Source organism: Homo sapiens, chromosome 18 (assembly GCF_000001405.40).
Source record: "Homo sapiens chromosome 18, GRCh38.p14 Primary Assembly".
Lineage (NCBI taxonomy): Eukaryota > Metazoa > Chordata > Mammalia > Primates > Hominidae > Homo > Homo sapiens.
The window spans coordinates 24496165-24511580 of record NC_000018.10 but is presented as its reverse complement, the minus strand read 5'-3'; the positions used below and the strand labels follow the sequence as shown (position 1 = coordinate 24511580).

The window sequence follows — 15416 nt, the reverse complement described above, 5'->3', positions numbered from 1 at the left end:
AAATATTTTAGGAGCAATATGGCAAGGTTATGTACAAATAAAAATTATAGGTATATCATTACATGATAGTATTTTTATTTGAGATAATACATCATGAATAAAACTTTTTTTTTCAAAAGCTATGAGTTCCTACAGGCAGAGTCCCAGGACAGCATACCAGCTTGTGTACACTCTGACTGATTAGTGCCTGTGGCATATCCTTATTAAATACTTTGACTTTTGACCCGCACCTCAATGTGTTGACTTCATTCTGAGCCAGGGTCTTCCCATGATCACAAGGTGGCTGCAGTAGCTCTAGCCTTTACCTTCCCTCAGCTTTATAACCAGCTGGGGTTGTTCAGCTTCCTTAACAGTCTCCAAAGCCCTGGATCTTGCTCTCATGGGGCCTAATCAGATCACTTGGCTTTAAATGAACCAATCAACTATGACTAGAAGATAAAACTGGAGCCAACCCCTTAGCATATTGCATAGGCTCATATTGGCGAAGAGGTATTTGCCCAAATAAATGTGGGGTACTGTTCAGAAGACAGAATGGATAATGAATGGCCAAAACCAACCATTTTCTCCTCTCACACCCTCCTATATAGGATTGAGTCTGGGTGTGTTCGACCTGAGTCTTTAGGTAATAAGGAAAGTTAGCCCTTTGTGGATGGAATGTTTTCCAGTGAAGTGAGAATCTTAAAAGAAGTGAGCTCAGGGCCAGGCCCAGTGGCTCATGCCTGTTATCCCAGCACTTTGGGAGGCTGAGGTGGGAGGATTGCTTGAGCTCAGGAGTTCAAGACCAGTCTGAGCAACATAGGCTGAGACCACGTGTGGCTAATTTTTTTATTCTTTGTAGAAATGAGGGAGCAACTAAGACTGCCCCCCACCCCCCGCCCATCTCTACAAAAAATTTTTTTTAAAAATTTGCCAGGTGTCATGCATGCTTTTTGTCCCAGCTACTTGGGAGGCTGAGGCAGGAGGGTAGCTTGAGCCTGGAAGGTCGAGGCTGCAGTGAGCCATGATCATGCCACTGCGCTCCAGCCTGGATGAGACCTCTGTCTCAAAAAAATAAAAATAAATACACAAATACATAAAATGAGCTCAGTAGAATCAGGAAGAGAGCAGGACCCTCTCTGTGCCTTAGTAGGAGCCATGATCCCAGCCAGGCCCATGCCTCCCAGGGCCTCTGCACACAACCTCTGTTTCCATGGTATCCAGAAACAGGATCCCTAATCCTTTTGTTCATTTTACACAGGGAGGACAGAGGCTCAGGGAACAACACTCAGTGGAGGTCACTTGCCCAGGAAGGGTGGGAGTAATCAGTGGAATGAGCCCGAGGGATCCACCCTGTTTTCACCTCTGAGTCCCACTCATTTCATAGAGTCCAACTGGTGGCATTGCAGATGGACTCACAAGTGAGTGGATTGTGCCCCAGACCCACATCCACCCAGAACCCCAGCCACATGATCTCTCCATCCCTATATAAGGGAGAGTGATATGGCTTGGCTGTGTCCCCACCCAAATCTCATCTTGAATTGTAGTTCCCATAATCCCACATGTCATGAGTGGGACCAGGTGGAGATAATTGCATTATGGGGGTGGTTCCCCCCATCCTGTTCTCGTTATAGTGAGTTAGTTCTCATGAGATTTGACAGTTTTATAAGGGGCTTCCACCTTTGCTGGGCAGTCATTCTTCTCCTTCCTGCCACCGTGTAAAGAAGGACATGCTTGCTTCCCCTTCCACCATGATTGTAAGTTTCCTGAGGCCTCCCCAGCCATGCTGAACTGTGAGTCAATTAAACTTCTTTCCTTTATAAATTATCCAGTCTCAGGTATGTCTTTATTAGCAGTGTGAGAACAAACTAATATAGAGAGTGACCTCCCAGTCTAAGGCTTATTGTGCTCAGTTCATATTTCTGGCAACCAGAGCACCATGGGGTCAAAGGTTGTCCCTGGAGCAGGAACCAGTGTCTGCAAATGCTTGGGGGTGAAACAGTTGGAAGTGTTCCTAGACTACAATCTCCTTTCTGTCTTGTGGAACAGGAGTGTAGTGAGGCAGGACTCAGGCCGGAACTGCAGGGTGAGCATTTGGGCCTCTATTCTGAGTTGTGGGGCTTTGGATTTGGGAAGCCCCAAATCCAAAGATGAGGGAAGTGATCTAACTCATTTATTAACATAACAGAACCTCCCAGAATTCAGAGTGGAGAACAGATTGTGGGGGTGAAGGAGGAGGAGGAGTGGAGACTCCTTGATGAGGCTCAGAGACTCCTGCACTGCCATGTGATGCACGAGAACTTTGTAATTGTGGCCTTGCAGGGCTGCCCTGGGCAGGGGATGGCTATTCTCCAGCACTGTCTTTCCCCCCGAAGACTTGCATCTTTCAGATCCCACGGAGTTGCCTAAGTGGAGCAGGTCCAGGAGTCCTGGGTGCCTGACGGTACAGGCACGACCCCATCTGGGCATTACTCTTCACTGTTGGCCTGCATTTAATGTGTTATGTGAGGTATACATACCCTTAAACATCCCTGACACCAGTGCCTCTGTTGCAGTTTGTTTTTCCTGAGACTGGAGACACCTAATGTCACCAACATCCAAGGACTAGCTAAAACCATTTGCAGAGGAGTGTGGGCATGGAATAGAGGTTGAGGAGGTAACTTCTAAGCAAGTCGGGTCAGGTCTCCCAAGGCAGGTGCTTCCACTCAGAAGGCCCTCCATTGTGATGTGGGTGGCTGGGTCCCAAAAGACATGCTACAGCCAGCTGAGCACCGTGGAACACACCCTACACAGAAACTGTACATGTGTGGACCATGAGGGAGAAGCTTTAATTTCAGTGCAAATCTTCATCAGCCCCAGAAGGGGCACAGTGGAGAGAGACCTTTCTGAAAAAAACAAGGGCAGGGCCATCTTGTTGAAGAGCCACAGAGTTCACACTCAAGAGATGCCATTTCCATGCAGCAAGGTTGGAAAAGGCTACCTGGTCAGCTCTGGCCTCTTCCAGCACCAAGCAATTCACAATGAGAAGCCATGCAGGAGTGCCATGTATGGGGACATGTTTCATACTCAACAAGGACATTTCAAATGCATTGACTATGGAGAAGCATTCAGTCCTAAAGACACTCCTGGCCAGCACCAGATAATTCACACTGGAGAAAAGCCTTATGTGTGCACTGAATGTGAGAAAACCTGCACAAGAAGTTCCAATCTCATTCAGCACAAGTAAGCTCACATGGGAGAAGGGCCTTGAGCGCAGCCAGTGTAGGAAGACCTACAGCAGAAACGCTTACTTTGTTCAACACAAAAGTTCACACTGGAGAAAAGCCATATGAGTGTAGCAAATATGGGGAATCCTTTTTTTTATTATTTTAATTTTTGTAGGTGCATAGTAGGTATATACATTTATTCATGGGGTATATGGATACTTTGATACAGGCATACAATGTGTAACAATCACATCAGGGTAAATGGGGTATCCATCACCTCAAGCATTTATCCTTTATGTTACAAACAATCCAAATATACACTTTTAGTTATTTTTAAATGTACCATTCGATTATTATTGACTATAGTCACACTCTTTTGCTGTCATATATTAGACTTTATTCATTGTTTCTGACCATTTTTTGGACACATTAAACACCCCACTTCCCCCTCACTCGCCCTCACTACCCTTCCCAGCCTCTGGTAACCATCCTTCTACTCTCTATCTCCATGAGTTCAATTGTTTTAATTTTTAGTTCTCACAAATAGATGAGAACATGCAATGTTTTCTTTCTGTGCCTGGATTATTTTGCTTAACCTTAAGGACCTCCAGTTCCATCCATGTTGTTGCAGATGACAAGATCTCATTCTTTTTTATGGCTGAATACTACTCCATTGTGTATATGCACCACATTTTCTTTATCCATTTGTCTGTTGATGGACATTTGGGTTACTTCCAAATCTTGGCTATTGTGAATAGTGCTGCAACAAAGATGGGAGGGCAGATATCTCTTCAATGTACTGATTTCTTTTCTTTGGGGTATATAACTAGAAGTCAGATTGATGGGTCATATGGTAGCTCTATTTTTAGTTTTTTGAGGAACCTCCAAACTGTTCTCCATAGTGGTTATACTAATTTACATTGCGTAAGAAATCTTTGAGCTCCAAATATGGACTTGGTCAACATCAAAGAACCCATATTGGAGAAAGTCCTTATGAGTGCAAAGAATGTGGGAAATCCTTTAGCCAGAGCTCCAGCCTTGTTCACCACCAGAGACTTCACTCTGGAGCAAGCCCTTATGTGTACAGCAGGTGTGGGAAATCCTACAGCAGAAATGTCCACCTTGCAGGGCACCAGAAAGTTCACAACACAGAAAGGTTTTATGAGTGGGGACAATGTGAGAGAGCCTTTGGCTGTCCCTCTAACCTTGCTCAGCACCAGAAAGTTCACCCTGCAAAAGCCTTATGAATGCATAGAATGTGGGAAGGTTTCAGCCAAGGAGTGCCTTGTTCAGCACCAAAAGTTGACACTGAAGTAAGGCTTTATGCTGAGGCAGTGTGGGAAATTTTTTAGCAAAACATTTACTCATTGAGGCCAGGCGCAGTGGCTCATGTCTGTAATCCCAGCACTCTGGGAGGCCAAGGCGGGAGGATCACTTGAGGTCAGGGGTTCAAGACCAGCCTGACCAACATGGCAAAACCCCATCTCTACAAAAAATACAAAAAAAAAAAAATTAGCTGGGCGTGGTGGCAGGTGCCTGTAATCCCAGCTACTCGGGAGGCTGAGGCACAAGAATCACTTGAACCCCAGAGGCAGAGGTTGCAGTAAGCCAAGATCGTGCCACTGCACTCCAGCCTGGGTGACAGACTGAGACTGTCTAAAAACAAACCAAAAAAAACAAACAAACAAAAAAAAATCTTTGTTCATTCAGCACAAGAAAATTCACACTGAGAGAATTTCCTTAGGAGAGCAGGGGATGTGTTATATCCTTGTTCTGTCTAATGACTCACCCTAGAGGGTAGCTTGGAGGGTAGCCTTTTTGCAGGGAGTCATCAGACAGAAGCGAACCATATATATCAAAATATCTGAACTGGTGATAATACCTTTTAGTGCCAGGTATGGAGGGAGCTTTCAGGAGGTAGGGTGCACTTCCTTAACTGTCTAGGCCCTTCGCAAGGATTATGTCACATCCAATACCTGTGCCAGAAGCCATCTCACCTTGACCACCCGGCAGGGTCCATCAGTCACCCCGATGTGCTCAAGAAAGTGAGACCTCCAGGCTCTCTCTCCAGTCCCCAGAGAGAATCATGAATCCCCCGAACCCGTTTAGGGACCTCATTCCCTTCTCACTGGCTGGTTATAGAGGGACATGACCTGGCTTTGGCCAGGAGGACTTGAGCTGTGGCAGCTTACTTATTAGGTTCCCTTCTTCATGGACATTGCTAGTCTCTTAATGCTCTTTGTTGCATTTGTTGCATCAGTCTCCTGGATTCCCAGCCCAGGACCTGTCTGCTCTACGTTTCATCTGAAGTATTTTGGTGATCTATTCTTTGTTTAGGGATAAGTTGAGAAATAATTAGGCTCTGCCAGCATGAAGAGGGGAGCAGTTGTTATGGGGCCTCCAAATTTGTATGCTCAGAGGGAAAGCAGGCAGGAAGAAAATAGCTCTCCTCCTACTTTTGGCCTGATTTGGATTGTTGTACAAGGCTTGCTGGGAAAATTTAAAAGGCATTGTGGGCTTAATCACTGGGTGTAATTAATAGGGAGCGAGGATATTGCAGTAAACTGGGAGAATGTGTCCCTTCCAAATATGCATTCACACATTGTCAGAGACTAAGGCTGTGCAGAATCAGGGTGTACAAATTATAAATTCCAAATCTCTCTCTCTCCTATGGCAAATGTCACTGACAGAGCAAATGCATTAAAGATTATTGGATTTCCATAGTCTTTATGGTCTGTTCATCTCTAAACCATTGCTGGCACAGGTGAAAGAGTGGAGATTACAGGGAGGTAGATAGAGTCCAGCCATGTGGCTTATGACCTAGCCATTCTTTCTGGTGACTCAGGTGGAAATAGCCTTCATTGCCTGCTGACTTTTGCCACCACTGTGGAAGGTTAACCTCTCCCAAGGAATCAGGCTGGAGATGGCAGAATCAGCATACGGTTGCCAAAACTTCTGGTTTTCTAAAATAAGTGGATTTGTATTTTTATGTAGAACCCTTTTTTAAACGCCTTATTGCAGTATAATTGACATGCAATAAAACTCATGTTGCAAGTATACAGTTTGATACATTTTTCATGTACATATATTTCAAACCATCTCTATAGCTATGATAATGAACATATCTATCACCCAACACATTACCTCATGTCTGTTATAATCCTCTTCTCTCTGCACTACTGATAACGAATCCCCTGGAAACTACATATTAACTGTAGCTTAGTTTGTGCCTTATCTAGAATTTTCTTATAAATGAGATCATGAAGTATTTATTCTTTTTTCTGGTTTCATTCATGACACATAATTATTTTTAGGTTTGTTGATGTTGTGTCTACAGTTTTGTTAATTGTTCAGTAGCATTCTATTGTCTGGATATGCCACAATTTGTTTATCCAGTCTTCTGTTAATGAACATTTGGGTTGTTTCCAGATTGGAGCTATTAAGTAACTATGTAGAAAGCAAAATTTTCAAAAAGAGCTAGGACAGTCGTTGAATCTCATATTCCACTACTGTCACATTCTAGACAAATTAATTTATTGTTTCCTTTACAGGCCCAAGGGTTTGTTGTCTTTGCTTGTGCTAAGTCCCTCCACTGGAAACGCCCTCTTTTCCACCCTCTCTCAGCTTACGCAGCTTCTGCTCACCTTTGATGTCCGCTCAGATGCTACCTTCTTCAGGAAAGGTTCTCTGAACTCCTTCCCTCCCCGCCCTCCACACCCCAACCTGATCCAACCTCTCCAAACCTCTGCAGCACTGCATACCTGTCTTATGACACCTCTCCTCTTCCCATGAATTCATAAGATGCAGAACTATTTGTGTTGTCACTTTCTTCCCTCTTCCAGGCTGTAGACACTATGAGGCAAGCCTATGTCTTGTTCAACTTTGTATGTCCCCACACCAACTCATGGTCAGTACCCAACAGTTATGAAATTCCATTCAAGTCAGCATCCAGGTGGATGTCACTCTCACAAGTATTGCAACTACCATTAAAACAAATCAACATGGCCAGGTGCGGTGGCTCACGCCTGTAATCCCAGCACTTTGTGAGACCAAGGCGGGTGGATCACAATGTCAGGAGATCAAGACCATCCTGGCTAACACGGTGAAACTCTGTCTCTACTAAAAAAAAAAAAACGTACAAAAAATTAGCCGGGTGTGGTGGTGGGAGCCTGTAGTCCCAGCTATTCGGGAGACTGAGGCAGGAGAATGGTGTGAACTCGGGAGGCAGAGCTTGCAGTCAGCCCGGATCACACCACTGTACTCCAGCCTGGGCGACAGAGTGAGACTCCATCTAAAAAAAAAAAAAATCAACATGTTATTTTTCTTAATCTGGGTGGTGCGTTCAGAAGCATCACTTCACTTTATTATTATTATTGTTATTATTATTCACTCTTTAATATGCCTGATATAATTTTTTTTGAGACAGAGTCTCACTCTGTCACCCAGGCTGGAGTGCAGTGGAGCAATCTCAGCTTATTGCAGCCTCCGCCTCCTGGGTTCAAGCGATCCTCCCACCTTAGCCTCTCGAGTAGCTGAGACTACAGGCACGCACCACCACGCCCAGCTAATTTTTGTATTTTAGTAGAGACAGGATTTCCCCATGTTGGCCAGGCTGGTCTCGAACCCCTAACCTCAAGTGGTCTGCCTGCCTTGGCCTCCCAAAGTGCTGGGATTACAGGTGTGAACCACCATGCCCGGCTGCATAAATTTTTTCTTAAGCAAATAGGAAAACTAGAGCCTGAGCTCTCATAGATTCTCCATCATTTACACATCGCTTTCATACATGAAGAATTGCTTAAAATGTAGAGGGTAGACCATTCCCTGAGATTAATTCTGCTCTGGATTTCTCATATGCTCCTTACAGATGGGTCACTGCTACCTTAAGAAAGCACTCGTTGAAACTTGATGCCTATAATTCTTAATTACAATTGCATTGCTGGCTTTATGTGCATCTCTGCTCATTTAAACTCAATGCTGACTGACAAATTGTGCTCGTCTGCCTATTCGACAGTAATTTAGTCAGGCAACCTGCAGCTTGCACCAGATTGATGAGCAGCTGTTGGATCTGTTTGGGGGATGTATTGTTGTTTTCTTGGTGTAGGCTGCTTTGTGCGGCTGCTGAATGGATGAATGGTTTTGTCTCGTCCAGTGACATTGTGGGCACTCTGGATGGCCACTCCTGGAACTCCAAATGCACATTTCAAAAAAATCAATCACCCACCGTTCCAAACACACCCTCACTCAGAGGAGCAGGATGGAATGACCCATCTGATTCAACTCAGATTCATATTGCTGTTTTCCAGGCCAGCAAAAGGTCAGGTTGATACCCAAAATGTGGCCATCCTTAGCCTCAAATCAAAACCTATTTAATTTGCTACACATGGTGACTTGTCTCTGAAGAGCTTTAGGCTAGCATAAATAGCCTTCCAGTACAATAACCCTGTGCACAGCTCCTGGGCTCATGCAATTCTGAACTATGCAGTCTCCCTCTGCCATAGCTCATGGCCTTCAGCCTCTTAAGCATGTTGAGGTTCCGAGTTAATTGTCTGAATCTCTTCAGCTGTATTTACCTCCCTCCCCCAATCATTCACACTTGATTATTTTTCCAGTTGAACTGGTTTTTCATGGTGCCTGTGGCCTGCATACAGAGTTAAGGAAAAGTGTCCCTAAGGTATGAGCAACAACTTTATTGAGATATAATTCACAAACCATGCAATTCCCCCATTTAAAGTGTACAGTTCAATGGGTTCGGTATATTACAGTATTTTTAAAAATTGTAGTAAAATATATATAACATAAAATCTTATATTTTAACCTTTAAAAAAAAAAAGAAAAGGCTGGAGTGCAGTGGTGCGATGTTGGTGTCACTACAACCTCCTCCAGCTCAAGTGATCCTCCCACCTCAGCCCCCCGAGTAGCTGGGACTTCAGACATGAGCCAATTCGCCCAGCTAATTTTTGAATTTTTTTGTAGATACGGGATTTTACCATGTTGGCCAGGCTGTTCTCAAACTCCTGAGCTCAGGTGATCTGCCCACCTCGGCCTCCCAAAGTGCTGGGATTACAGGCATGAGCCACTGCGCCTGGCCCCGTTTTGGATTTGAAAATAAGCTGACACCACCACATTTCAAGGAACTTAATCTAGGTCTGCTTTAATAACAGATATTTTTCAGTGGTCTCATATTATGCCCTGAAATGTTCAGAGAGGACACTGGGGACCCTAATGTCACACAGATCCTTCCCACTTGCAAATATGCTCATTGGTTCCTGTCAAGGGACAACATCAAGTGCACTGGGGAGTCACCCACAGGTGGCAATAAAGTATGAATACCTAACGGTTAATACATTTTATATGTGTAAGGAAGTTTCCCAAAGTTGAAGACAAACATCAGGGGGAAACATTCAACCTCCGAAATGGAGCTAGTAAGAATCAAAAATACGTGCACTTTTTCAAACTCCCAACCCCACACCAACCCAATATCACAGCCAATAATGTTGATTTCCTCTTCACTGAGAAAAGCAATTCACTTGGGCTCCTCAAATCTTTCTCTTCCCGGTTGAGCACAGTGGCTCAGGCCTGTAATCCCAGCACTTTGAAGGCCGAGGAGGGCGGATCTCTTGGGGTCAGGAGTTCGAGACCAGACTGGCCAACATGGTGAAACCCTGTCTCTACTAAAAATACAAAATTAGTCAGGCGTGGTGGTGGGTGCCTGTAATCCCAGCTACTCGGGAGGCTGAGGCAGGAGAATCGCTTGAACCTGGGAGGCAGAGTTTGCAGTGAGCCGAGATCAAGTCACTGCACTCCAGCCTGGGTAACAGAGAAAGACTCTGTCTCAAAAAAAAAAAACCTATCTCTTCCCCATCAAAATGTATCTTTATCTTCCTGCTCTCCCTGCTTCCTCTCCTGCTGTCTGGAAGAGGTATCCCCTCTCCTTCAAAACTCATTTCTCCTCATGGCCTCCACCCTTCTCAGGTGCTAGGCCCCCACCAGCTTCGTCATCCTTTCTCCTTTATCTCTTCCCTCCAAAGACACAAACATCCTGAGTTTTCTCACCTGGCTTCTCTCCCTCAAGCCGCTATTCCAGCTCTTCACCACACAAATTCTTCACGAAGAACCTTTTCCAGTTGTTCATCTCATACAGACTTCTCAAAGCTTTGCAGTCTGGTGTTTCCACTGGGCAACCCCCCTGGAACAGGGAACATGGAACAAAAGAGGACTGTGCAGGGCTGAATGAGGTCTAGAAACCAAGAAGGAAGACCAACGAAGCCATGAACTCAGAATGGCTATGATGGCATTGGGGGCAAAGACGCAACAAAATAGAGAAAGAAATGTAGACAGGCATACTGGCAACAGCACTCGGAGTTGACTAGTAATCGAGTCAGGCCCCTGTTGTAAGGCTCCTGTCATCTTGCTCATAAGTACAAAGGGGGCCAGGAGAACCGAGCTCATTGGAACACTCTACCGAGTTCACTAATGACATCCTTAAATTTGAGTCATAGTTAGGATTGTCAGATTCAACAAACAAAAATGCAGGATGCCCAGTTAAATTTGACTTTAAGATAAATAATTTTTATTCATTATTTTATTTTGTTTGTCAATATTTTATTCATAAGTATGTCCCATGCAATATTAGGGTATCCTCAACATAAGCATGTCCCAAATATTGCATGCCACTTACACTAAAAAAAATTTCATCGTTTATCTGAAATTAAAATTGAACTGGGCTTTCTATAATTTACCTGGCAATACTAGTCACACTCCATACTTCACTTACAGAATTTTGACCAACCTCTTCTTCAATCCTCCTCCTCACTTGACTTCCAGAACACTACTGCATCTCAGTTCCTGTCAATGGCTTCACTTCAACCTGGTCCTTGAATGTAGGGATTCCACAGGGTTTGGGCTGCAGGCCAGGTCCTGCTTGGCTCTGTGTCTTCTCCCCAGTCTGTCTGTTCCTAGGTCTTCCTCATGCCACGCTGATGGCTGATCATTTCAGAACTTCAGAGCTGAGTCACTTCTATCTTTCTTTAGACATCTTCACTTAGAATTGCTAGCCCTATGTCAAACACAACCCATCTAAAACCAAACTCACCATGCTGGTATACCTCCAGAATCGGTCCCCAGTTTCCCCACTAAGCCATGGTGCCAACATCCTCCTGATCTTGCATCCAGGAAATATCAGACCCAAATTCAATTCTTCCTGTTTCGTTGCTTATATCCAGTCACCAAACCTCTTTCATTCCATCTTTGAATATCTGTCATCTCTGTCACTGGGCCTCACCCTCTGTGATGTCTTGCTTGAAAAAATGTGACTCCCAGGCTTCCATCCCCCATCTCTCCAGTTTTTTCTTCAAACGACTGCCGTGCAGTATCCAAAAATGCTTTCCAATTACATCATTCCCTTCTGGAAGGTCTGCACGATTTCCACTGACTCAGAATAAGCTCCTACTTGGGCCTCACTTCTGGTACAGAAGGAGCCTTCTTAACCGTTCTGCACCAACACCTATGAGAGTCAACCATCTACCTTCACCCAGTTATAATGTAAATGTACATTTCTCTTTTTTTCAACTTGCAGAGAATTTGAAAATACAGAAAAGCTTAAGAATAAAATTATATTTTTTAAAAGAATGACCTTTTAGGCCTGGTGAGGAGGCTCACATCTGTAATCCCAGCACTTTGAGAGGCCGAAGCAGGCAGATTACCTGAGGTCAGGAGTTCGAGACCAGCCTGGCCAACATGGTGAAACCCCATGTCCACTGAAAATACAAAAATTAGCCAGGCATGGTGGCGGGCACCTGTAATCCCAGCTACTCAGAAGGTTGAGGCAGGAGAATCGCTTGAACCCTGAGAGGTGGAGCTTGCAGCGAGTCAAGATCGTACCACTGTACTCCAACCTGGTCGACAGAGCAAGACTCTGTCTCAAAAAAAAAAAAAAAAAAAAAAAAAAGAATGACCTTTTAATCCCTTAATACGATGAAAGTTTCCATGATCTGACCCAGGCAATGTCTGCAGGCCCATCTCCCAGGGGGTACTTCCAAATATCTGAAACTAAGCCTCAAGGTTTATTCATCGTTTCCCAAATATGCCACCCTGTCTCCTGCCCATGTGCCTTTTCCCAGCCTGAAATTCTCTTTTGCCCATTCCTCACCTGCTCAACTTTCAAAAGCAACTCTTCTGTGAGGCCATCCCTGATTTCTGACCCACACACCCCCAACTCCTAGTTAGAAGTAATTTCTCTTTCTCCTAAATTCCCACAAAATTTGCCCCTTTATTTAGCACAGATTTATTTGTCTCCCCACTAAGTTGTTGTGCAAACGTGGATTGATGGGTCAGTTACTGGGACACGGGCAGGGAGAGGCAGGATTGGTGAAGACAGCAGGACAATGAGACTTGGGGAGGGCGGAGGGTCAGGGAAGGCATAGTGACATCAGCTCATCTGGGCTCACATCAGGTGTCCCCACTCCCTGGCAGCAAGGCCTTGGTGGACTCGATCGATGTCCCACCCAGAGCCCCTTGGCGAGGGCTCTTACCTGCGGTCTTCTCTAACTCATGGCTTCTTGACCTATGAGCCTGGGAGGTGACGTGTCTCCCTGGGAGTGCCCCATCCCCTTTTGATAATGGCTAATTCTGGGGCACAAAAGCCTGACTCCTTTGCCCAAGTTGCACAATTTTTCAGTCCAATTTGGGTTCCAGAGACCCTCTCCGCAGCCCTCCACCCTCGGCAGGCCAAGGCAGACTCCACCTGAGACCTCACTTGCTCAGCTCCTTCCCGTCCCTCTCTGGGTGCCCTCACTGCTGGGGGATTCCCAGGGAGAGCACCCTCAGGAAGTCCCAGCACCTAAAGTCCTGTCCCATCATTTGGCCTTGTATCAACTTTGTGTTCTCTCTTTGACTTATCCCGCTATCTCTGAACTGGAGGTAAAGTTCTCTCCCGCAGTTGTGAATAAGGACTGTGGAAGCACTTAGCTGGAGGCTGGGAAGTAACAGTTCCATTCATTGCTCCCAGAAACTGAACCTGAGCCCTCAGGAACACAGTCCCCAGGGGCAGGCAGTTAACAGTGCTGTGGTGGAGCTGGGCATGAGGTGCCCTCCCTGGAAGGGAAGGAGAGCTTCACAATGAATGCAGCTCAACCTCACACCCCCATTCCCTCTGCCTCACCTTAGTGAACTTTAATCATCAGTCTACCTTTACTGTTGACTGTGAACCTATCTTTCCTTTTTTTTGTTTTGTTTTGTTTGTTTATTTGAGACAGAGTCTCACTCTGTTGCCCAGGCTGGAGTGCAGTGGCGCTATCTCAGCTCACTGCAACGTCCACCTCCCAGGTTCAAGCGATTCTCCTGCCTCAGCCTCCTAGGTAGCTGGGATTACAGGCACCCACCACCACACCTGGCTAATTTCTATATTTTTAGTAGAGACGGGGTTTCACCATGTTGGCCAGGCTGGTCTTGAACTCCCAACATCAGGTGATCCACCTGCCTCGGCCTTTCAAAATGCTGAGATTACAGACATGAGCCACCGCACCCAGCCTCATGAACCGATCTTTCTGGATTCGTTCATAAATTATTTCTAGTGATTGCTGCGTGACCCCAAGAAACTAGGATTTCTAGGCACTCCATTTTTGGTCAATAAGCACTAACTCAATATTAAAATCATCTAGTGAGGGGAACACTGAGCTAATTTCAACCTGTGTGCTCATAGCAAGAGGACAATGGTGTAGAGTCTGATAAGATGAACACACCACAGAGGAGATGGGGTGCTAGCCCAGGGATTTAGGGCCCAGGAGGAGAGAGACAAGAATGGCTCACATTTGTCTGCAGAATACATTTCCCATTTGTTTCATGGCACACTAACCACTGTGCAGCTGTGACTTGTGAGTCTATTCAGTCCTTGGCTGCTTTACATTTTGATTCTTAAGAACTGAGGATTCTGCTTTTTTGGACTTTAAAAGCTTTGACCATAGAATGTGTTCATTTTCAAGTAGATAAAAGATCTTCCTACATATCAACCAAGAGCATTTCATCTTTTCTTTCTGTGATACCCATCCCAAGGCATACAGCACAATTCAAGAAACAGACATCATTGTTGTAAAGCAGAACATAACCAGATGGTTTTCCAGTTCTGGCTATCTAAATACTGTGTCATCTGTGTTACATAATTCTTAAAGAATGCACACTGCTTTAATTGTGCAGCACAGATCATGACAGATTGCTCCATTTTTTGACATCATTTTCTTCAGTGTTTGCTCTGCTCTGAGCTCAGGGAAACTAATTATGTCCAGGTGGGGTCCAGGTGCGGATATGTGTGCTAACTCCAGAGGGCCTGCTTACATATGAAATGGTTTTGCTGGAGTGTTCTAGCTTTGAAAACTTGCTCTCTTGGCCCTTTTTAATAAGTGCTCATTGCTCTCTAAATATTCCCCCATCCCCATGCTGACATGAGTAATTGAAGCTCTCAGGGAATGGGACCAGCTCTGAGAAGGAGAAGAGCGTTCTCAGACTCGATTGCAGACAGTGGGCTGCCATTCCTTAGAGTCTCTCAGAAAACCTGTCTTTAGCGCACATGGTCTCACTCTTTAAATTATCACTCTCATGCATGATGCTGAGATGATTTAGCTTCACTTCAAGTTTAGAATGGAAAATCATACTTGTTATGGAGATGTATTTCCTGTTATGAAAAGGAACTGGATGGCTGGAGGTAGATGGTGGTGATGGTTGCACAAAAGTGTGAATGTACTGAATGCCGCTGAATTGTACCCTTTAAAATGACTAAGATGGTAAATTTTGCTATGCATATTTTAACTACAGGGAAAAAAAAGGAACTGGTACTGTTTCCAACTTCAGGAGGTGGGATCCACAGAAATTAGAGCAATATGCCAACTTCAGATCAGTAATATTTACAGAATCCTCCTATTCTGTTGGTTTTTGCAGATACTTACACCTTACATTGGCATAGAATTGCTTTATAGTTTGAAAACCACTTTTATATACACTATTGTATTTTACCCTCTCTGTGTATACAAGACAAGTAGGTTTATCACCATATAACAAATAAGGATTGTTGCATTAACTTTGGTACCTAAGAAATGACTCCAAGACCCAGCAGCTTGAGTATAATACTCATTTCGGCCGGGTGTGATGGCTCACACCTGTAATCCCAGCACTTTGGGAGGCCAAGACAGGCAGATCACTTTAGATCAGGAGTTCAAGACCAGCCTGGCCAACATGGTGAGACCC

General features: G+C 44.8%; 1 long non-coding RNA gene and 1 pseudogene across 3 annotated transcripts; one reads left to right on the top strand and one right to left on the bottom strand.

Annotated features, from left to right (window-relative positions):
- Window positions 2809-4717, top strand: LOC646629 (zinc finger protein 470 pseudogene; annotated as a pseudogene).
- LOC105372026 (uncharacterized) lies at window positions 3306-11470 on the bottom strand. 3 transcript variants are annotated; one of them, XR_001753371.2, is made up of 4 exons: window positions 10957-11470; window positions 10236-10368; window positions 6944-7473; window positions 3306-6145 (listed from the first exon to the last, which is right to left on the bottom strand). It is a non-coding gene; the product is annotated as an uncharacterized LOC105372026 (long non-coding RNA). The 3 variants fall into 3 exon arrangements; XR_935292.3 differs by having other exon boundaries at window positions 3306-7473; XR_935293.3 differs by having other exon boundaries at window positions 3306-7473; window positions 10972-11470.
- Window positions 11471-15416: the final 3946 nt, after the last annotated feature.